Source organism: Homo sapiens, chromosome 14 (assembly GCF_000001405.40).
Source record: "Homo sapiens chromosome 14, GRCh38.p14 Primary Assembly".
NCBI lineage: Eukaryota > Metazoa > Chordata > Mammalia > Primates > Hominidae > Homo > Homo sapiens.
Window position 1 is genome coordinate 55,588,937 of NC_000014.9, and position 24,643 is coordinate 55,613,579.

The 24,643-nt window shown below is 36.5% G+C and overlaps 1 protein-coding gene across 43 annotated transcripts in view; it reads left to right on the top strand.

The window, feature by feature from the left end:
* The window catches only part of KTN1 (kinectin 1), a 104,378-nt gene that overhangs the window by 8,730 nt on the left and 71,005 nt on the right, over window positions 1–24,643 (top strand). For 20 of the 43 annotated variants that reach the window (NR_175289.1, NR_175288.1, NR_175284.1 and 17 more), the window contains exon 2: window positions 23,083–23,635. The exons of 7 other annotated variants lie outside the window; for them this stretch is intronic. Coding sequence is in view for 24 of the 36 variants with exons in the window: in NM_001079521.2 (NP_001072989.1) it covers window positions 23,113–23,635 (523 nt within the window). In the remaining 12 variants the exon portion in view is untranslated. Of the gene's footprint in view, window positions 1–12,820; window positions 12,945–23,082; window positions 23,636–24,643 lie in introns of all 43 variants that reach the window. 16 more of the 43 variants (NR_073128.1, NR_073129.2, NM_001402686.1 and 13 more) reach the window with 3 other exon arrangements.

Sequence of the window (24,643 nt, forward strand, 5' to 3'; positions counted from 1 at the left end):
ATTGTTGCAGTCTCCAAAAAATTTTCCAATATAGTTACCGAAAAAAAAATCTGCATGAAGTGGACCCACACAGTTTAAACCCATAGTGTTCAAAGGTCAGTTATACATTCAAGATTAGCCTTGGAATTATACATAAAATACAGCCGAGGCATTTACCTTGTCTGAGGTTTTGGGGAGAAAAGAAGTAATTCATAAATATAAGTTAGTTGTAAAGTGATGAAAGCCGAATTTTTGTCTGCTCTTTTAGGATTAATTACCTGGCATAAATTGGTAGTTATATTTCATATCCTTTCAGTGTTATGTAACCTTCATTTAAGCAGAAAGTCCTGGCAGCATTCAAAATAACATACTACTTTTGGTATAAAGAGATTCTTTTTTTTGAAACGGCGTCTCGCTCTGTCACCCAGGCTGGAGTGCAGTGGTACAATCTTGGCTCACTGCAACCTCTGACTCACTGCAACCTCTGCCTCCTGGGCTCAAGCGATTCTACTGCCTCCTGAGTAGCTGGGATTACAGGCACCTGCCACCAAATCTCGCTAATATTTGTATTTTTAGTAGAGATGGGGTTTCATCTTGTTGGCCAAGCTGGTCTCGAACTCCTGAAATCAAGTGATCCACCTGCCTTAGCCTCCCAAAGTGCTGAGATTACAGGCATGAGCCACCATGCTGGGCCAGAGATTCTTTAATTATTATTCTTGGTTACTATATTCATCTGATTTCTTTTTTTTTTTTTTTTTTTTGAGATGGAGTGTCTCTCTGTCGCCCAGGCTGGAGTGCAGTGGCACGATCTCTGCTCACTGCAACCTCCGCCTCCCAGGTTCAAGTGATTCTCCTGCCTCAACCTCTTGAGTAGCTGGGACTACAGGCATGCATCACCACGCCCAGCTAATTTTTGTATTTTTAGTAGAAACGGGGTTTCACCATGTTGGCCAGGATGGTCTCGATCTCTTGACCTTGTGATCTGCCCACCTCAGCCTCCTAAAGTGCTGGGATTACAGGTGTGAGCCACTGCACCCAGCCTTATTTATCTGATTTCTTAAGGTAGCTTTGTAATAAGTAAAAACAAAACAAAACAAAAAAAACCACACATACAAACCTAGATATTTTCTGTAAACATTTTTAATAGATTTCTTATTTTAAAGGACTTTTCTTTTTGGGGAAAATTTCTTCCAAAGTAGGAATAACTTTCTACAATTATTCAGTGCTTTTATTGTAATTGTATAAGTTAAGAAGCAGGGAAGCTTATGCCTGTTTGCTTGTTTGTTTTGATTTACATTTATCTCTTCCTACTTGTCTTTTTATTGTTTTATTGAAAGTTGAAACCACTATTAAATGATTCAGACATATAAGAATGTATAATGTATATGTACAGTTTAAAGATTAAATATAAAATGAACATCTGTGTACTGAACACCTGTGTACCTTTCTCTCAGCTTTAAATTTTTTCTTTTAAAATAAAATACGTATGAGATAATATTTTAAGAGTACGTGTAAGATATAAAGACATAATGAACAGCCTTGTATCTAATACCCAGTTTGAGAACATAATCCTTTTTATTTCTTTATGTCCCTTCCCACACTCTAACCACTACCTTTCTTACCTTTGCTTTTCTTTTAGTTTTGCCAGATCTAGTTGTATCCCTATTTTGTTGTTTTGTTGGTTTTTGAACTCTAAATGGAATCCTTCTGTATGAGTTTATTTGTAACTTCCTGTTTCCCCTCAACCTTGTTATCAGGATATTCTTTTTTTTTTTTTTGAGATGGAGTCTCGCTCTGTTGCCCAGGCTGGAGTGCAGTGGCGCGATCTTGGCTGACTGCAACCGCTGCCTCCTAGGTTCAAGCGATTTTCCTGCATCAGCCTCTTGAGTAGCTGGGATTACAGGCATGCACCACCACGTCCAGCTAATTTTTATATTTTTAGTAGAGACGGGGTTTCACCATGTTGGCAAGGCTGGTCTCGATCTCCTGACCTTGTGATCCACCCGCCTTGGCCTCCCAAAGTGCTGGGATTACAGGCATGAGCCACCATGCCCGGCCCAGGATATTCTTTCACCATGTTGTATGTAGCTCTAACTCATTTGGCTACTTCATGTATGAATATTTTACAACCTGTTTCCTGTTGGACATTGGGTTTCTAGGTATTTTTGTTGTTAGTATACACAGTGCTGCTATGAACACCTTGAATAGCATAGGTCTATTTGTTGCACTTGTGTCTCTAGGATAGTGTTTTTTTTCAAACTTTTTGTTACCACTCACAATAAGAAACACATTTTAAATTATGACTCAGTATATTATCAGGTATACTATTCCATGCTGTTCTGTTTCATTAAAACTAAAAACGCTAGTCAAGACCTAAGTTTTATGCTAATCGCTAGTGAGTTGAGACTAGAGTGTAGATAGTTTTGGGGCTTATGACTAGCTAGAAATAGAATTGCTGGATTGTAGGAGACAAGACATTTTCAACTTTACTAGTTAGTGTAAATTGTTTTCTTTCCAATATAAATGTGCCAGTTTATTCCTGTCACCAGTGTATATGTGTGATGGCTCCACATTCTTCCCTATACATGATAATGGCAAAAACCAGTTAGCCTATTGTGTGTGAATTGATACATTGTATGTCTTGCATTTCTTTCTTTCTCTCTTTCTTTTTTTTTTTTTTTTTTTTTTTTGAGACGGAATTTTGCTCTTGTCGCCCAGGCTGGAGTGCAATGATGCGATCTCTGCTCACTGCAACCTCTGCCTCCCAGGTTCAAGCGATTCTCCTGCCTCAGCTGGGATTACAGGCATGCACCACCACACCTGGCTAATTTTGTATTTTTAGTAGAGATAGGGTTTCTCCATGTTGCTCAGGCTGGTCTCGGACTCCCGACCTCAGGTGATCCGCCCGCCTCGGCCACCCAAAATGCTGTGATTACAGGCGTGAGCCACTGCACCTGGCCTTGCATTTCTGATTAATGAGAGAAAACATATTTTCAGAGTTTGCTGGGCACTAGTTTCCTTTTCTCTGAAATGACTGTTCATTTTTCTGTTGGGTTTATCTTTTTGGGTGGCAAGATTTCTTCATATGTTCTGAATACTAATTATTTGCCAATTATGTGTTATAAATGTCTTCCTACTTTGTGGCTTGTCTTCTGACTTTCTTATGGTGTCTCTATTAAAAGTTAAAAATTTTAATGTAGTTGAATTTATCAGTGTTTTCCTTTTATAATTTGTACTTTGTGTCTAGTTTAAGAAATTCTTCTCTACCTCACGGTTATGAAGATGTTCTTGCATGTTGTCTTAAAAAGTTTTATGTTGTCTCACAGTTCTTTCCCTGGAATTGATTTTTGTTTCTTCCCCTTTATGCTGTTTTCTTTTTTCCAAGATTTCCACTGCTTACCATTTCAGTTTTTAAGGGCTAAAATGTGTTTATTTATAGATGCTTTGAAATAATACTTTGACAGTATGGAGTTGTTTCGAGGATTGCATCTACAACTTACTTTTAGAGTCATAAGAAAATAATTGCAGTTGACCCTTGAACAACATGGGTTTGAACTGCACGGGTCCACTTATACATGGAGCAGGATGGTGAAACCTGAGTAGATGGGCTATGGGACTTGACTATGGGAGATTTTGGTGTACCTGTGTGTGTCCTTAAACCAATTTTTGGCGCATACTGAGGGATGACTGTATGTAGGAGTGTTTTGAAAAAGAAACTTTGGATAGTTATTCAATAAACTTTGAAGTCCCTCCTCCAGTCCCTATTTGACATCCTAAGTGTTTTGTAAATATTTCACAGTGATGCCAGTGTTTGCATGTGGTTTTCTTAAATTGTTTTGCACATATATTGTGAAGTAGATCTTTGTGCTTGGTATTTTGAATATGTATGGACAAACTTCTATGTATACAGCTTGTACTTAGAGTATACTTACAGTATGAGGAATCAAATCTTTAATTTTGAAAAATTCTCACCTCTTTAAATATTGCTTCTTTTATTTTCACTTTTCTCTTTTGCTAGACCTGTCTTGGAGGCTAAGTTTATCCCGTGTTTTTAATTGTTCTATCATTTTTTTCTCTTTTCTGTGCTTCATACTAGGTGAATTCATTACTGTCTAGCAATTTACCATTTTATTTTTCTATTTTGTCTAGAGTGTATTGTATCTGTTGAGTCTATATGCCAGTATCTATAATTTTCATATTTTAAATTTGGAATTGCTTTTTCATAATCACCTGTTTCAATTCTCTTTGTTTGGCAACCCTTTTGCTACTTAGAAAACCTCTATCTCCTTCTTTAACATGTTCAAATTTAAAAATCTTTGTCAGACCATTTCATAAAACATCTGGTGTGAATTCGTGTTTTTATATGATTGTTTTTTCTCATTAAATTTCTTGCTATGTTTTGGATTAAAAAAACTGGTTTTAATGTTGGACAGACTCATTATTTTGACAACTCTTGCATTCAAATCAAAACTCTGAAATTTAATCTTATTTTTGAATTTACTAATTGATCAGAAATAGACACCCCCCCCCCAAAAAAAAAAAAAGAAAACTTGTTAAACACTGTGAGGGTACTATCAACAAAATTCACACTGGGAAACGCGCTAGGACTAGCTGCTTGGTTTTTTTTCCCTTCCCAACTAAAAGTTCTAAGAATTGTAAGAAACTGAAAAATAAAGAGATAGGTATAGTACGTGAAAGGAGACAAGAAATATACCAGTCAAGGAATAACAAAATACTTGCAAAGCACTTGGGGAACGTGAACGAACACTAGCTTTGCATTAAGGAATTACTAATTTTTAATTTGCTATGACATTGGATGTTTTGTTGTCTTTTTTTTTTCTCCAGGCTTGGAGCTTCTGTAAAGTTATAGCTCTGGATTTGCAGTGTCATTGTTTTTCTCCCCTCTCCTCCCCTCTCTTTTTTTACCTTTTTATTTTTTTGAAACCTCTCTTTTTACAAGCTGTGCAAATCTTGACCCCTTGGTGTCAGGCGATGAACCTTGTTCTGTTTTGTTGCTGTTACCTTTAGGAACTGAACTATCCAGCCATCTTCCTGGTTCCTTCTTCCCTCTACTGCACTTAAGATATGGGTTACTGTTTTGAATTTTTATTGCATTTCTCACCCAGTACGATGTTTATCTTAGTTTTGAGTTTAGCCATATCTTTTAAATTTCCTTTTATATTCGTGCAAAAGGTTGGTGCAAAAGTAATATTTCACACTATTACTAAGTATTTGGAGGAGGATCCTTATTGGAAGTCGTTATCTTCATTTCTACCTATCTTAGGCTTACTTGTTTTTTGAATCCCAGCTTATGTATCCTGAGTAGTATTCACAGTGTATCCTGAGTGCTCTAGTTCAGTGATCTGTTCCCTTCCTTTGCACAAATCTTTTAATCTTGTTGAATATTATTCAGCTCTACAGAACACATCTGATATTAGCATCACACTAATTTATGATTATATAATAATTAGTTAGACTCTTTAAGCATTGAAATGTGATTCTTGCTTTTGCTGCTTGATCTCACTCATCCTGTGTTTCTTCGTTCTGTTTTGGAGTTGCTGTTCCCACTCAAGCAGAGTAGAGTTTTTTTTTTTTTTTTTTCATTTTTGAGTTTGGACTGGTATCCATTGTTGTGTGAAATATTTTTGCTTGTTGTCTCCAACTTGAAAATCAAATATCCAATGTTTTGAATTCATTCTTGAAAACCCTGCTGCTAATTTAAAAGCTATTAAATGAAAGCCTATTTCCATTAATTTTAGTAGGGAATTATGATGCGGTATTTCATCCCAAACAGTTTTCACACGTAGGTAAATATTAATCTAACAATGAAGACAAATTTGTGTAGGTATAAACAAGTTGAAAGTAAATACACTTTATACATAAAATATAATGTAGTATAATGAAGGCTAATTGTATTTGCCAAAGGAGAAAGAAGATTTGATAGTGGATGGTAGTGTAGTTGGTAGAGTGTCACTTTTTGGGAAGTCTGTTTCTTCTGTACTGTGTTTTTTCACCAATTCAAGCTTTCTGGAGTTCAGAGTTACCTTGCATTCAGTCTGCACTTAAGTTGTCTGCACAGAAAAGCACCACTAGGGCAATAACAAACACAAGTTGTTCACAACACGGGAAATAGAACACATGCAGAAAAGACGGAGTTGTAGGAGCTGGAAGCTCATTGACTTTCTTGCTCTGCATATGTACACGAAGCATATCTAGGTTCATCCAGTGTACTGTATGTACAGTATAGATCTGTTCCATATGATTTACGCTGATGGGAAATAATTACGTTGAATAAAACATTGAGTCTGAAATCATAAATGTTGAAATTTCACTCTATAGAATATTTTGTGTGTGCTTAGGTAAACAGTCACTAATACCAAAAAAGGTCATTGCTTGAAAAGTGGTAATTTTCAAGAGCCATTTTGATGAAAACCAGTTAAATGAACAGCTCATTATGTGGTTAAGTCTGTAGTAGACTTAGTAATGTGGTGTTCCAGCTTATCTGAACTAGTTGTCAGAATTTCTGCTATTCTAACCAGGTAACTCAGAGTAACACAGGATAATACAAATCTTACGTTCTGAAACCTTTAATTGGTTTGCCCTTTGTTCTCATCCTCATATTCAACACATTTGTAAACTGGCAAGATTATCTTTAATTGATTAAAATGTTAGTAAGGTCAGGCTTAGTTTTTTGGTACATTGTTAAGATACTTTCTAAACCATTAATTGTCAACTTTGGGATATTATTGTTTAACCTTTTAAATATTCTTCAATTTATGCCAGTATTCAGCCATGTTCAGGATTTATCAATCTTGTCTCCAAGGATAGCTTGTTTACTTTATTGACTGTTCTGACAAAATCAGACATTCCATAATGTGTATTGGGTTTTCCTGATTTAGTAACCCTTTTATTTAAAAAGGTATCGGAGTGATTTTTTTTAATAGTGACTGGTTTGGCGGCTGGGCGCGGTGGCTCACGCCTGTAATCCCAATACTTTGGGAGGCCGAGGTGGGCGGATCATGAGGTCAGGAGATCAAGACCATCCTGGCTAACATGGTGAAACCCCGTCTCTACCAAAAATACAAAAAAATTAGCTGGGTGTGGTGGCAGGCGCCTGTAGTCCCAGCTACTCAGGAGGCTGAAGCAGGAGAATGGTGTGAACCTGGGAGGCGGAGCTTACAGTGAGCTGAGATCGTGCCACTGCACTCCAGCATGGGCGACAGAGCAAGACTCAATAGCAAAAAAAAAAAAAAAAAAAGTAAAAATAAAATAAATAAATGGTTTATAGTGGATGGCTTTTGATGTGCCTATATTTTTTAGTAACATTGTCTGGATTTACCTAAAATAAATTCATCAATTTTAATTTGACTACTTTCTATTTTTAGTACATGATATTTAATAGCTTTTACTTTTTTCCCCCTAACTCTTAGGCATTTTCTAATAGTGAGGAAAGCAGAAGCCTTTCATGGAACTTGAAATGTAGGATCATGGCAGCTGTGTCTGTTGAAGGCAACATCTGTCTTTGCATGGCTGTTGAGGTGATTGTGTTGTAAACATGGATTCTAAGGATGACCATAGGATAGGAGCCTCTACTTGTGGCTATATTTTAGGTTCTGATAACTGATCATCTTTCATCCTCTTACCTCATATTTCTGTTGTCTGGAAGGCAGTCTTTGCAATCACAAATTTTGAAGGTTCATGGTGTGCTGTGTTTTAATTATGTTAATTACATAATTGACATACTTAAACCAACTTTCAGTTGGTGAAATCACAAGGACTACTTTTTCTTGGCGTTAGCTCCCTAAGGTTCTTAGTAAGATCGGGTCTCTCACTAATTTTTTGCTTAGGTTTCCTATTATTGCGAGTGATGTCAAAAGAATAGAACCTTTTTTTTTTTTTGACAAAGTTTTTTTTGCCACTGTAGACTTAAACTTTGTTAATATATCAAAGCTACACTTATTTCCAATTCAAGGTAATTATATCTGTACTTTTTGATGTTTTTTCTGTCATAGACTCTTTTTGCAGCTTCAAGAATAGAACGTTATGGTGAAGTCCATATCATGATAAAACATCCTTGATTTTGTGTTTCAGAGTACCAGTGAACACAAATAGGATTAGTATATACTGTATATATGAAGGATTATTTTGAAAAAAAAAATCCAAAGGGAAGAACTCACAAGGACCACCTATATAAAGTTATTTATGTTCAGAGAAGTAAATATTTGACAACATTGTGCGTTGGACTCTGTGTTGGGCTCCCAGATAGATGGGAGAACATGTATTTGAAAAGGGGAGTTACTCATTTGGCTTACACTTTTTGAGTAGTATAAGCTAAACTTTGTGTAATAAGTGAGTAAAAGTCTTCAGGGAATGTTTTCTTAAGCCATAGTTCTTAAGGTACAATTTCAGAGAATGATAAACACATAAGATTGTGAATGTATTAAAGCAAATGCCTCTTAATTTCAGTGAATCAGAATGAACATTTCTTAAGTTTATCGGATTCTTCATTTGTACTTGTTTTTAGATTGTGTGTAAGATTTTGCTGTTTATTCACAATTTTGCTGTTTGCGTAGATGTCGAATCTCTTTGCTGTTTCTTAAATAGCAATGATAGGAATTTCCCTGTGGAATATGAACATTAAAATTGAAATGTAGAAGGGCTGGCATGGTGGTTCATACCTGTAATCCCAGCACTTTGGGAGGCCGAGGCGGGCAGATCACTTGAGGTCAGGAGTTTGAGAACAGCCTGGCCGACATGGTGAAACCCCATCTCTACTAAAAATACAAAAATTAACAAGGCATGGTGGCGGGCACCTGTAATCTCAGCTACTTGGGAGGCTGAGGCCAGAGAATCATTTGAGCCCGGGAGGGGGAGGATGCAGTGAGCTGAGATCGTGCCACTGCATTCCAGTCTAGGCGACAGTCAGACCCTATCTCAAAAAAAAAAAGTAGAAATGTAGGTTGTAGGAATGTAGAAATTAAAATGTAGACTACAGAATAGATTGTAAGGTTTAGAAAAAAAAATTCAGGCTTTCACCATTTAATTGGTGTACTTAACTATCTGTGAAAATTTGTCCTAATTTCATATGGCTTTGTATACGGAAGCTTGGAGTAATTGAGGGGCCAGAGAGGGAAAACTCTTTGCTAGCACTCTTCTTTGTGCATTCCTGAAAAGTTTATTAGAGAAAAGCAAAGGTCAGCTGTAATCCCTAGTGAAATAATAAGAATATTGCTTTCTCGGCAGGGCGCGGTGGCTCACGCCTGTAATCCCAGCACTTTGGGAGGCCGAAGCGGGCGGATCACGAGGTCAGGAGATTGAGACCATCCTGGCTAACATGGTGAAACCCCGTCTCTACTAAATATACAAAAAATTAGCCGGGCGTGTTGGCGGGCGCCTGTAGTCCCAGCTACTCTGGAGGCAGAGGCAGGAGAATGGCGGGAGCCCAGGAGGCGGAGCTTGCAGTGAGCCGAGAACCCGCCACTGCACTCCAGCCTCGGCGACAGAGCGAGACTCCATCTCAAAAAAAAAAAAAAAAAGAATATTGGTTCCTCAATCAGTCATACTCTGGTTGGAAAGAGGTACTGTTCATTAAAAAAAAAAATTACATTCTGGATTAGTAAATTTCATATAAAGTCTGAATTAATTTTTACTAATTATTTACTAATGTTGATCAGTTTTGTTTGTTGCAGAGCTGACAGACTTATTGCTTCTAAAAACTAATATTCCAGTGTTCAGCAGGGTCTAGAATTCTGTGGCAATTAATGGTCATTGTTTCTATGGAGATTTTATTACATTATTCTTTGGCTTCTATTGCTAAGTACTATGTAAGTCTAAATTTTTCGGTACTCTTTTCTGTATTGGTTTCAAGACTTGTTTGAGTTACACAACGTTACAACAAATGTTTAAATATCTTTTATTCTGTTCAAATTTTGTTGCCTTTCCTGAATTGGAAGATCCATAGCTTTCAACAGTTTTTGAAAATTCTCAGCCACTGTGTTTCTTTGTTCTTTCCTCTCCTTGAATTCCCATTGGATTTATTGGACATTCTCATGTATCCTTTATGTCTGTTAATTTTTCTTTCATATTTTCCCTTATGTATAATTTTTTGTGGTACATTGTCAGTTTTTTAATCGTCTGTCTTGTTTGATAATTCAACTTTATATAGTTATCAGGCCATTTAGCTTTTAATTGCTGGGTGTTTGTATGTCTGTGTACATATGTATGTACACATAATTTATAAAATTCAAGTTCTAATTTTTCTGTTTTTTTATGAGTGTTTTCTGTGTTTCTGATTTCTTTTATAACTCTCATGGCTGAAATTTTTGTTTTAATAGTCTTTCACATTCTGTTATCAGTTTTTTGGGATCTACTCCCTGTTTGTATGTGCTACTCTTGTTTATTTTGACTGGAAGTTCACCTCTGGCAGGAGTATATCTGCAAATACTATACTGTACGGACTAGATTGGACAGAGGTAGTTTTTTTCCAGAGAGATTTTTCCTTCCCAAGAGTTTTTCCTGAGTCCCAGGGCTTTTGTGGCCATTGAGCCATTTTTTTTTTCTTTTTTTTGAGACAGAGTCTCGTTCTGTTGCCCAGGGCGGAGTGCAGTGGCGCAATCTTGGCTCACTGCCAACCTCTGCCGCACAGAAGCACAGATTCAAAGCGATTCTCCTGCCTCAGCCTCCGGAGTAGCTGGGATTAACAGGCTCCCGCCACCACGCTCGGCTAATTTTTTGTAGTTTTAGTAGAGACGGGGTTTCGCCATGTTGGCCAGGTGGTTCTCGGAACTCCTGACCTCAGGTGATCCGTGAGCCATTTTTATGTCAATATTTGTGGTAGGAAGGGGGCAGTAGGGGGAATTGGCAGAAACTGTAGATGAGAATTTAAGGTTGTACAATCTTAATGGAGACTTCTGGCCTTTGGAAAAGCAAACAAGCTTTCTCTTGTGTCTTTTTCTCTTTTGTGTCAATACTACTTATTAAATCTATTTTTTTAACTTAGTGATTTGAAATGGCACTGTGATAATATACCAAACTTTTTGTGTGTATATGGGCTATTTTGCCTTTAATTGGGTGTTCTTGGACAAGAATTAAAAATTCTTATTTACATAAGCAAAACTTTTTCAGTAGTCATTTTTGATAGTATTTGATGTTCTAATTTACATTTCATGTTCAGTTTGTGAGATGTTTTAGGTATTATGTCTCTTCTGGGGATAAGCAAGAATATCCCCAGAAGAGACATAATACCTAAAACATCTGATCATTTTAGTACTTCCATTGTTGAGTGACCTAAGGTGATACACCTAAGAGTTATTTTATTAATATTTTATTAATTAACCCATTATGTTCAACTTTAATACCCTAGCTAAACTTTTCCAAAGGATGATAAATTTTTGTGAATGATAAATTTTGAAGTAAGTTTTTCTATTTGCTGCTAAATTTAATTTCATTAAGTTTAAGCATCAGTTATTAAGACTACCCTGTGGTAGTGGGATTGGACAGATTTGTTATGGTTAGGGTAGAGCTAGGACCACTGGGAGAAGTTATAGGATGATGTGATTTTGGATCAAAACTAAAAAGAACTTGTCTTTCCAAAGAATAAAAGGGGTTTATGGGAGGTATTCATCCCTGCTTTTCAAACATAGGCTGGCTGCCTGTTGAGCTGGGTCTAATCTCTGAGTGGCTAGTTGGATTAGATGGCCCTTTCTTACTCAGAAATCTTATGAAAGGAAAAGCAGGTCAAGATGGTAGATTTTAAGGGGAGGAAAGCTTCTGTACATGGTGTAGCTGTTTTACGGTATGAATTTCATGTTGTAGTGTTAATTTTTGAACAGTTTTGATGACATGTTCTTTTGTCTTCAAAAACTGATTTTATGTGATTTGAAAACTGATTTGAAAGACTATTTTAAAAAGTTATTACTTTTTTGGTATTAAAGCTTTCAGTTTGTCTAATTATAAATTAGATTTTTTTTTTTACCGAATAAACTTTTAACCAGATTATTTCCCATGGAAGTGTTTTTAAATGAGCAGTGCCTTTTCCTGAGAAAATGGGCTGGTTTGGGCATGATGAGTAAGCAAAAGTCTAAAAGATACTTTCAGCAGCTATGACCTCTGCAATTCCTTTTCAGTTTCTTGGGAAAGCTGTTCAAATGGATTGATCTATTCTCATATTAAAGGGAAAAAAGTTTGATTAAAAAATAGAAGTCTCATTTGTTGTGACATGATACCTAATGGAGAAATTAAATTTCATTACTCATTTCTGGCATTAGTTGTATTCATTTCACATTGGGTTAGCAGTACTTTAGAATGGATATTGCTGAAGTAAGTGGTGTGTTAATAAGATGTGAGTCATAGAAATAACTGTGTTGCAGTTTAAAAGGAGAAATTGTACCATAGCTTTGAAATTTTAGTGTGGTCTATAAAGTTAATCTTAGAAAAGATACTGTAAATGGGATTCCCATGTTGGGGAATTCCAATGTTTGGATTTCCTGGATTGTTTTGTCTTTTGCTTGCTTTGAATGTTTTTCCTCTTATTTTAAAAGATAATTGTATAATTGCGTTGTGCACTCCGGGGCCATTATACTTTTGGTGTAGTGACTGAGTAGGACAATAGGAATTTAGATGAGTTTTTGCGTTTTGATGGCCGTTTCAGGAAATGGTTAATGCTTTGTCTATTTTTCTCATTGAATTTTTTGTTTTTTCAAAATGATTTGTAGAGTCATTTATTTTTAAAAATTCTTACTGCAAATGGAATATACTTACAAACATTTAAACATATAGAACTATGTAAAATGAGCCTATTTTCTTGTGTTTTGAAGTGCTTTATATTTTTTCTTTTTTTCAGGTAGATTTTCGTTCCGTCACCCAGGCTGGAGTGCAGTGGTGTGACCTTGGCTTGCTGCAACCCTTTGCCTCCTGGGTTCAAGTGATTCTCATTGCCTCAGCCTCCTAAGTAGCTGGGATTACAGGTGCGTGCCACCGCACCCAGCTAAGTTTTGTATTTCGGTAGAGACAGGGTTTTATCATGTTGGCCAGGCTGGTCTTAAACTCCTGCCTCAAGTGATCCACCCGCTGTGGCCTCTGAAGGTGCTGGGAGTACAGGTGTGAGCCACCACGCCCGGCCCTCAAGTGCTTTATATTTTTTCTTATGTTTGAAACTTTATTTGGATGTTTTTAGTTGATTTGAATGATACAGCCTTCTACTGATTAGAAATAACTTAGAGCAAACTAAATTTTTGTATGTATTTAGATTTGTTTTAGATTTTGAGTTCAATTTTATTTTCTTTATCACACTGCAGTATGTTGCTGCCTTGCTATATTAGTTGAAACCATTTACTGTCTCATAGAATTATATGCATGTCTGTGTAAATAGAGAATAAGTGCTCTGGAACTTTAGGAGGAGAACTAGCTGTAGACATGGTACTTGAGCTGGAAGAGTAGAACCATATGGAGGCTCAAGTTAGGATTTTTGCTCTAGTTAGGTTTGTAGATACTATATACTTCCTTTCGCAGTGAGATTATAAATTCATTTAAAGTCGGCAAATTTATTTGTGAACACTGTCAAATACCCTGCATTCAAAAACTTCAGTGGAAGATTAAAGTGAGTGCAACTTACAAAGAATGAAAACTACAGCAATAATTAAAATGTGTTTTATAAGACCTTCAACACTGTCTTTTTTTTTTTTTTGAGAGAGGGTCTCCCTCTGTCGCCCATGTTAGAGTGCAGAGGTGAAATCATGGCTTACTATAGCCTTGAGCTTCTGTGCTCAAGCGATCTTTCTGCCTTATTCTTCCAAGCAGCTGGGACTACAGGTGCATGCCACCACGTCTAGCTAATTTTTTATTGTTTGTAGAGACAGGGTTCTGCTATGTTGCCCAGGATGGTCTTGAACTCTGGGCTCAAGCAGTCCTTTCTCCTTGGCCTCCCAGAGTGCTAGGATTACAGGCATGAGCCACCGTGCCTGGCCACCATCTTTTTTCCACTTATTCTCTGCTTATGACTTTGCTTCTCATTTCGTAAAGAGAATAGTAGCATTAGGAACAGAATTTTCACAAATGTCTATACCGTCTACCTCCTTTCCTGTCCTGGGTCTGTGCTTTTATATTCTTCCTTTATGTTTCTACAGATGAACTGGCTGTGCTACCATCTAAGGCCAGTCACTCTATCTACTTGTCCAAATTCTGTCTTTTCTTGCTATTTGAAAACATTGCCTCTCACTCCTGCATCATTGTTCTTTCCCTTTTTACTGGATCATTTTTTTTTTTGTCAGCATATTATCATGCTGTAATTTCTCCCATCTTTAAAAACCAAACTGTTAACCTCATATTCTCCTCCAAGTTCCATCTTATTTCTCTGCATCCTTTCATAGGAAAGCTGCTTCAAAGAGTTGTCCACACTTGCTAGAGTTCTTCTAACTTTTAAATTCATTTCAATCAGGTTTTGATCACCACTACTCTACTGCTTTGGTCAAAGTCACCAGTAACGTCTGTGTTGCTAAATTCAGAAGTCAATTACTAGTTTTCATTGTATTTTACTTACCAACCCCATTTGACAAAATTGGTCCGTCTCTCCTCCTTAATAGACTTTATTCATCTGGCGTCCGGGACAGCAAACTCCTAGTTTTCTTTATAGCTCTCCTCAGTCTCCCTTGAGAGTTCTTCATTTTCCTGTTGTTGAATTTCAGTGCTTCAGTCTTGAGACCTGGTCTCTATTTATACCCATTTGTTTGGGATTTTATCCAAGTTTATGGCTTTAAATATAGTCCATTTGCTGAATACTTCCAAATTTATATCTCCAGCCTTCACTTGTCATGTGACAACTCTTATTTAGCTGTCTCCTGGACATCTCCACTTACCTAAAACCTAACTCCTTATCTCCAGCCTTAACCATGTCCCTGCCACTTTTCCCCTATCTCAGTAAAGGGCAGCTCCTTTGTTTTTGGCCTAGTCTAAAAGCTTTGGAATTGCCTTTGGCTTTGTTTATTCTCTCGTACCCCACATCCAGTCCATCAACAAATCATCTTGGCTCTACCTTTATAAAGTATCAAAAATTTGACCATCTCACCTGCTACCATCATCTCTAAATTATTTCAGTTGTCACCTAACAGTTCTCCCTGATTTCACTTTCTCCCTACACCCTTCCCTAGTCAGACCCCTCCAGTAGTTTTCCCATATTACTGAGAGTGTTAGCCACAATCCTTTTCCTGTAAGAAACTACATGAATTGTTAACCACATCCCCTCTCCCTTTCAAATTCTCTTTGACCTCATCAGTTTATCCTTTTGTTCATTCTACCCGAACCACGTTGTCCTTACTGCTCTTGCTCATATATAGCAGGTATGTTACTGTCTCATGATCTTTGTGCTTGCTCTTCCCTCATTCACTGTATTTTGCTCTTCACTTAGATATGGATAGCACCATGGCTCTATCTTTAACTTACTTCAGGTCTTTATTGAGATGTCATTTTTTAAAAATGAGATAATCTCTGATCATTCTACTCTAAATTTTAACCATTAGGAGTTTGAGACCAGCCTGGGCAACATGGCAAAACCCTGTCTCTATATTAAATAATTAAAAAAAATTAAATAAAATTTAATGACTGTCCACATCTTCCTGTGCTCCCTATTTCTCTTCCCTCCTTATCACTATTCTTGCTACTTGTTACCCTTTCATATACTGCATACTAATTGTTGGTCTGTCTTACCACTTAGTAGAATGTTAGCTCTGTGAGTGCAGGGTTTGTGGCCCTTTTACTGCTGTTTACTCAGAATGTCCTAGAGCAGTCCTGACATATGGTCAGTGCTAAATAACAAATGAATAATAAAGACTATTGTGGAAGAGAGTTGAAATTACATATTCATAGGTTTGATTTAAGCTGGGTTTTGAAGGATAGGTGGAGATTTCATACAAAGGACATGGCAAAGATTTTTAGATTTGATTGCAGGGATAAGGTGAAGTGCTTTAAATGGAACTTTAGAAGGTGTTTCCTTTGGTTGCCTGATTTAGAATCCATAGTAGCCTCTTACTGCTGATTTTTCCCACTTGGTTGACTGCTGATCTTTTCTAGCTGGTCGTCCCATATTTTCTTCAAAATCTGATCTAGAACTCCCAGATAGGAACCTATTCCTATATTCTTAATCTTGTCAAGGGGTTTCCTCATTTATGGAACCTTCCAGGCATGACATGTTGGAATTGTCTTATTAGTGTCCTCACTCACTTTCAGATAGTTGCGTTTTCTTATTAGTTGTTCCACCCAAGTATTTCTGTGTTGAAATTGATTTATTGTCATTAGATCTACTTAAACTACTGAAAGTCATTTTAATTGGTCTCCTTGCAACTATTTTTAACCTATCCATTTGGTTTTATTTATTTAGTTAGTTATTTGAGACGGAGTATTGCTCTGTCGCCCAGGCTGGAGTGCAGTTGGAGATCTAATTCTTTAGCTCGTTTCTGCTGCCTCTTGTTCATGATGGCTTATCACGTGTTCTGTTATTTTGCGTTGTGGGCTTATATCTGGATAATAATTTTTAAAAACCTTAAGGAGCCTGGCTTGGGGAAGGAGTCCACCAAAGAGGTTATGCATTTGTTTCTGCCACGGGTACTCTGGGCACCACCAGCTGGGGGCCACTTAAATTTTTTGGCTGACATATCCAAGATCATGCAAGTAGTTTGGGCCCTAAAGCCATGTGAGAAGAAACTCATGGATAAAAATTTTTAAGTAAGACTCTGAGTGAAGGCCAAATTGGGACTAAAAGCCAAGACTCTTGCCTTCCATTTTACTGCCTCATTATATTGCTATTCACTAATCTTAAAATAATTTACTTTTGCTCAGGATATATCTGCAATATAACACGCATACTGTATTTGAAGGTTATCAACTACATGATGGCTAATATTTACTTTTAGCAGGAGGAGTTCATTGTATCTAAACCTTTTGCAGAATGGAAATCTAATTAAATGATACTTGGCTACCAATAGTAAACTTTTTATCACTGTAGAGTACTTACCATAAATCATTTTTCTTAAAAAAAGATTAACTTGTCTGTTTAAAAAAAAATAAGATAGTAATGTGGGTTTAAAGAAAGGTAAACATGGTATGAAGAGTGTGGCACGTTTGGAATGCCAAGTATTTAGATTCAGTGTGATCAGATTACAGATAGTTTTTTTTGTTGTTTTTTGTTTTTTTTAACCTATGAACATTATTTTTACAAATAACCTATAATAATAGCTTTCAGCTTAGGCCTCACAGCTACTTCTGTAATATTTTAACTGTATTCAAATAATGAAATAAAGCTCTTATAGGCTACTCTGGAAGCCTGTATATCTTAAAGGTGTATTCATTTAGTTGTCCAGACATTGATTTATACTGGAATTTTTATGAAATTATGCATTCCTGTGTTGAAAATTACCTTTCCCTCAACTTACTGTTTTTGTTTTTTTCAAATGTGTCTGCTTGCTTAGTATGTTTTGTGGTGGAAAAAGATTTTCACTGTGTTCAGATTTCAGTCTTGAATTTTGATTTGTTAAGTTTTTGCTAATGGTTTTTTTGAGCCACCCCAGCTGATAAAATTGTGTCAGTTGAAGGACAGAAATATTGATAAAATTAGTTTTTTTGTGTCATTTGTTTTCATTGTTTTTAATGTGAAGAAAAGGATAGCAGAAGCAAGAGCAACTGAAACACTATAGTAAAAAATATAATTCAAAATTGTTGTATTACTTGAAATTTAATAGTATACTTATCAAACTGCCTCAGTTTTTTCTCATAATGTTAACAATTCTTATGTTTATGTATTTAAGCTTTTAAAAGTTTAGTACTGTGCATTCAGTTTGGTTACTTAAATTATTGTTTCAATGTGCAATTTTAAAAGTTGAACAATTAACCAAACAGTAAAATGTTTGTAATAATCTCCCTTCAAAAAATGTAATGATTCTCATTTTTTAGGTATCATCTATGAGTGTATATAATACTCAACACAAAACTTTTAGTCTTTCTGCTGTGTAATGTATTTTGCTGCATTACAATCTTAATTATTTTAAATGGTTGTGTGATGTGTCTTCACATGTCCCACACTGAAACAGTTTCATTGTTTTATTATATAGACAGTGTGGTGTGTCTTGTATATACATAAATATATTATCCTTTTTGGTTAAGCAGCTCTATTGAAATTCTAATAATTGCCGCCAGATTTTTATATCACTTAAAATTTTAGGTTTCACTTCTTTGTTATATTAATATAAATTGGGTCATTGTGCCTTCTGAGAAGTTTGTAAAATTTAACTCAGTGATGTGTCTCAGGTTTTGTATGAACAAATGTAAGTTATAGGAGAGCGAGTAAATAGAATTTTAAAACTATTTGATTAGTATTTGTAATACGTACTCTGACGAAACACGACTTACATATTATGCGTGTTAACTTATTATAATTTTTTTTTAGTTCTTTTAAGATAGGGCAGGAATGAAAACTCTCAATATAGAGCAGGATTTTAAACCTGGGGCCCGTGCATATTCTTCAGGGAATCCAGAAACCTGGAGATTATATGTAAAACTTAGTGAGTGTGGATACTTTTTTTCTTTGAGAAAGCGGGTCAGTATCTTTATCAGTTTCTTGAAAGATTTATGTCCGAGTGAAAGATAAAAGACAATGGTGTGGAATGTGGTTTTAAAATAGTTTGGACTTGCTTTCCTATTGTTCCATGGATATTTCTCTCCTGGTTCTCTTGACAGAGAAATCCTATTTGCCACCACTGGCTGTTTATTGCATTCAGATTGGAATCTATTATGACTTATGTGTGATGAGGTTAAAGAGGTAACTAATATTAGAAAGGGTAAGCCAGGCTAGGTGGTACATGCCTGTAGTGTAGTTCCAGCCACTTGGGAGGCTGAAGTGGGAAGACCTCTGGAGTTTGATGCTGCAATGCGCTATCATAGGGATTGTGAATAGCCAATGTGGTCCAGCCTGAGCAGTGTATATATAGAGACCCCATTTCTTAAATGTGTAAAAATACTACACATTTTTTGTGAAAACTCGGGTTGTGAGTTAGCAAAAATCACCAGTGTTATTTCTTCCATGTGTGAAAGAACAACATGAGCGTCTACATGTCTCCATGTTTTTCAACTCAACAAACATGTATTGAATTGTATACTGTGGACTTAGAAAATTTTAATGACCTGGTTCTTATTACCCAGAGCTAAATTAACTTTGTCTCAACCTCTTTACTTTTATTTTTCAGTTTTGCCTCCCTGCTTTTAAAACTTTGTCTTTGTTCTTCCCTGAATTTTCCTGTTTCATTCTCAGTTCCTTTTTGTCTCCTCTTTTTTCCTCCTCATGTAATTCTGATGCTCATGGGTAAAATGTGAATTTGAGGTATATTTATTGGTATTGTAGTATTTATTCAATAAACACTCATGTTTTGCCTTTTTAAAATAATATTTTATGAATTTATCATAAACAAAGTTTAAAACTAGAGTATTAAGGCAAATGAGACTGTCCCCATGATTCTGGCACAACTCCTTAGTACTGAACTTGCATACATAAAATGTTTTGATCATATAATTACATATGATTTTGACTTTTTAGCAGCATTGAATTGAATTTAACAAAGTTTTAGTGTTCATGGTTTTAATACCTATACTTTGAGTTGATATTTGCTGATTGAAATCATTCTGATTTTGAATGTTTTATTTCTTAGTTTTTATGTAATATTGCTGTGAACTTTTTTTTTTTTTTTTTGAGACAGAGTCTCGCCCTGTTGCCCAGGCTGGAGTGCAGTGGCGCGATCTCAGCTTACTGTCACTGCAACCTCTGCCTCCTGGGTTCAAGTGATTCTTTTGCATCAGCCTCCTGAGTAGCTGGGATTACAGGCGCGTACCACCACGCCCGGCTGATTTTTGAATTTTTAGTAGAGACGGGGTTTCACCATGTTGATCAGACTGCTCTCGAATTCCTGACCTCAAGTGATCCGCCTGCCTCGGCCTCCCAAAGTGCTGGGATTACAGGCATGAGCCACCATGCCCAGCCTGTGAACATCTTTCTATATGTTTTTTTCTTGCAAATAAATTCCTAGGGATAAAGAATTGGGATTGTTGGGTTAAAGGAATGCAAACATTTTCTTCTTTTTTATTCTTCTAAAAAAAAAAAAACAGGATACATGTGGAGAACGTGCAGGTTTATTACATAGGTATATGTGTGTCATGGTGGTTTGCTGCACCTACTGACCCATCCTGTACGTTCCCTCCTCTCAGCCCCCACCCGCAACAGGCCCTGGTGTGTGTTGTTCCCCTCTCTGTGTCCATATGTTCTCAGTGTTCCACTCCGACTTATGAGTGAGAACATGTGGTGTTTGGTGTTCTGTTCCTGTGGTAGTTTGCTGAGGATGATGGCTTCCACCTTCATCCATGTCCCTGCCGAGGACATGATCTCATTCCTTTTTATGGCTGCAGCAAACATTTTCTTGATTCTTCATCTCTTGGTGTCTAGTTAGGTTCCTCTAAATGCATAGTGAGACTCAGGTGAGCTCAAGTGAAGGTGAATTGAATTGTGTGAAGAGAGACTCCCGTGAAAATCCAGAGACAGAAAGCTTGATTCCTTCACGCCTATATATGGGACCTGGGAAAGGAAACTAGAAAATCATTAAAACATTTGAAGAATCAGTGTTTCAGAATTCTTGTGGTCTCATACCCTCTCTTCTTGAACATTTGCTACTTTTTCTTTCTATACAGGTGAATTTGCTGTGCTTGATCATAATTTCTGCTTTCCTAAAACCTAGGTTTGTACAGGGCTGCAGCTTATTCATTAGGCCTTTTTGACTTTTACCCCTTTTTTCAGCTTCTATTACTGCTGCTAAGTGCCTTAGCGTCTCTTCTTCACCAAAGCAAAAACTCGAAGCATTCCAACTCATTGTTTTGTGTTTTTTCTCCCTCGACTGCCCAGCTTTTGTTGAATAGGCTGTGTATTCTATGGATGCTATGTTTAAAAAAAAATTCTGGGCTCTTTTAAAGCATTCCTGGTTGACGAATCACACTTAATGGAGGCACAGTGAAATGTGTCTAATTTTAAAACCTGGATAGTTCATGTTAATTTGAATTATCAGGGAAACAATTCTGTATGGAGTTTCTTTTAGTATTTTGTTAGCACATGATTCCTTTTCCCCCTTAACTTGTTAAAACCTTGTCTTAGTAAATCTAGGGTATAACTAATACTATTAAAAAATTGCTTATGGAAGTATGAAATGTTACTTCAGTCATATAGATTAATAGCATGCCTGTTGAACAAACGACAGTCATTCCTTGGTATATGCAGGAGATTGGCTTCAGGACCCCTGTGTATACCTAAATCTAAGCATGCTGGAAGTCCTGGAGTACTGTGGAACCTGAGTATACAAAGTTGACCCTCCATATACTTGGGTTTCACGTCCAGCAAATACGTATTTTCAGTAACAATTGGTTAAAAAAAAAATTCATGTGTAAGTGTACCTGTGCAGTTCAAACCCGTGTTGTTACAGTTCTGGCAAAGTCTTATATTCAATAAACTCACATTTATCCAATTTAAAATCAGGTATTTTCTTAGGTGTAAAATAATTCTTAGAATAAGTTACCCGTTTAGGTAGAATTTGGTTTCTTTATCTAATCATGACATATCAAGACTCTCCAAATTGATAATTTAAAAACTTAAAAAATTCTCAGATTTATTTTTACATTAAAAGTGTAGCAATTAACTTTAATTTGCTTTATCCTAAACATGTCCTGATGTTTAATTATATCTGTATTATATACCTTGTCTTTTTCTACAACACATTTGAGATGAATAAGAATACAAGTCACTTTTATGTGGCTTATGCATGTTTGTAAGGAGCATCAATATCTAGAATCTCAACATCAGAATCATTTATACTTTGAGATTTAATTTTAGCAGAAACTACCCTTCACGTAAGTGATATGTATATTCAAGGCAGATGTTGGTAGTCAAATTACATCGCCACCCGCCCCCTTCCCGCCCCGGGCGTACTTACTGAGTCCATCTAAAAGTAGGGCTGATGTTCTGTTGATGAGGCAAAGCCTTTTATTTAGCAATTTCGGTAGGATGTTGATGGCAGCCTCGCTTTTGCTGTATAACTTGTTTTGTGCAGTATGGGGTGCCTTTAAAAAACTGAGATAAGTTCCTAACTTGTAATTTATTTCACTATTTTATTTTTTTGAGACAGAGACTTGCTCTGTTGCCCAGGCTTGGAGTGCAGTGGCAGAGTCACAGGTCACTGAAGCCTCGACTTCAAAGGCTCAGGTGATCCTCTCACCTCAGCCTGCAAGTAGCTGGGACTACAGGCTCACTTAACTACGCCCAGCTAATTTTCTTGTCTTTTTTTTTTTTTTTTTTTGTAAAGGCAGGGTTTCGCCATGTTGCCCAGGGTAGACTGGAACTCCTAGGCTCAAGTGATCCGTCTGCCTCAGCCTCCTAAAGTGGTGGGATTCAGGCATGAGCCACTGCGCTTGGTCTGTAATTTATTTTAATGCAAAATGCCACATCCTAACATTTCAATTTTAATTTTATTAGATTTTTATATCCTTGATAGATCCCACTGCATCATGAGGCTGATAGTCACTGGTGTAAAGATGCAAGCAGTTGGTGACTGGTCTTAATCTGTAAATAAACCACCTCTTTTTGCGTGTGTGTGCATTTCAGAATATGACACTTTTAATGAATGTCCATTGAGTTGGTAATAGTACCTCCTTATTTTCACGTGTAGTAGTTATCAACACTGTACAATAAACAAAAAAGTTAACTACTAATAAAGTACCAAAAGTGGATATTTCGGGAAAAGAAAGTAATGAATATTTAAATTTTTTCTCTTCAATTAGGATATTTTCACATGATTTAGAAATGGAAGGATGTTTTCTACTCCTTCTAGTTACCACTTGTCTTATTTTTCATAGTATATATGAATTGTAGTTGGCAAATAAATCAAGAATGTGATTTAAAGAACTAACCTGTTTAGATTTGTAGGTCAGGTTAGATTTGAAATGCCACTTGAAAGAGCAGCAGTTTTGACTTTAATTTTTATGAGACTGACAGGTTCTTTTTTTTTTTTTGTCCCCACCTTCTTCCCTATTTAGGTTTTATAGGATCACATTGACAAAAGTACCATGGAGTTTTATGAGTCAGCATATTTTATTGTTCTTATTCCTTCAATAGTTATTACAGTAATTTTCCTCTTCTTCTGGCTTTTCATGAAAGAAACATTATATGATGAAGTTCTTGCAAAACAGAAAAGAGAACAAAAGCTTATTCCTACCAAAACAGATAAAAAGAAAGCAGAAAAGAAAAAGAATAAAAAGAAAGAAATCCAGAATGGAAACCTCCATGAATCCGACTCTGAGAGTGTACCTCGAGACTTTAAATTATCAGATGCTTTGGCAGTAGAAGATGATCAAGTTGCACCTGTTCCATTGAATGTCGTTGAAACTTCAAGTAGTGTTAGGGAAAGAAAAAAGAAGGAAAAGAAACAAAAGCCTGTGCTTGAAGAGCAGGTCATCAAAGAAAGTGACGCATCAAAGATTCCTGGCAAAAAAGTAGAACCTGTCCCAGTTACTAAACAGCCCACCCCTCCCTCTGAAGCAGCTGCCTCGAAGAAGAAACCAGGGCAGAAGAAGTCTAAAAATGGAAGCGGTATTGTAATCTATTTAATCTATTTAATTTTATTGTATGATTTGGAGCTTGGAATTGAGATATTCTGTTAGGTACATACACAGAATGTTTAATATTGAATTTGAAACCATGATTATTCATTTCATTATGTGTTTGCTTCATTAACATTAATTGCTGGTAGAAATTAGTATTGATCATAAAATAGCACTTTAAACTTCAGGGCCTGATGCAGTGGCTCATGCCTGTAATCCTAGCACATTGGGAGGCTGAAGTGGGAGGACCCCTTGAGCCCAGGTGTTTGAGACCAGCCTGGGCAACAAAGTGAGACCTCATCTCTACAAGAAATTAAAAGAAAAAAAAAAAACCCCATACATCTTATAAATATCCAACTTTGGCTATTTTACTTAAAACCACTTAGGACCTGTAAATATCAGCAGTTACGAACTTTCTAAATGATATGGTAAGAATTAAAGGTGAAAAGCTAAAATCAGATATCATTTCTCACCCTTGATTGCTTCATTTTGCTAACATTTATCATATATCTGTTTTATGCTAGGCATTATGCTAGGTATTAGGGCTACAGAGATGAATAGTGCGTTTTCGAGGTAGTCGTGTGCTAGCTGTAGACACAGATAGGTCATTATGAAAGATTTAGTGTAATGGTCTAGATATGTCTAAACCAGTGTAGGAATTCTAAGGTAGACCACTTAAAGCAAGTAATGCCAGAAATTTTTAAAGTTTGGTTAAGTACTAGTTAGGTTTTTTGGGTGGATGGGGAGGGGAGGGAGATTCCAGGGAAAGGGGGTTGATAGGTACAATGGAAAAGCCTTGAAAATTGGCGTGGCGATGTGTGAAACTGTAAACAGTTTGTTTTATTTGAAAGGACTTGTATGTACCATTAAGTCATTTGTGTGTCTTAACTTGTAGGAGGTTATATTTGATTTTTTTTTTTTTTTTTTTGAGATGGGAGTCTCACACTCTCACCCAGGCTGGAGTGCAGTGGTGCGATCTTGGCTCAGTGTGTCCTCT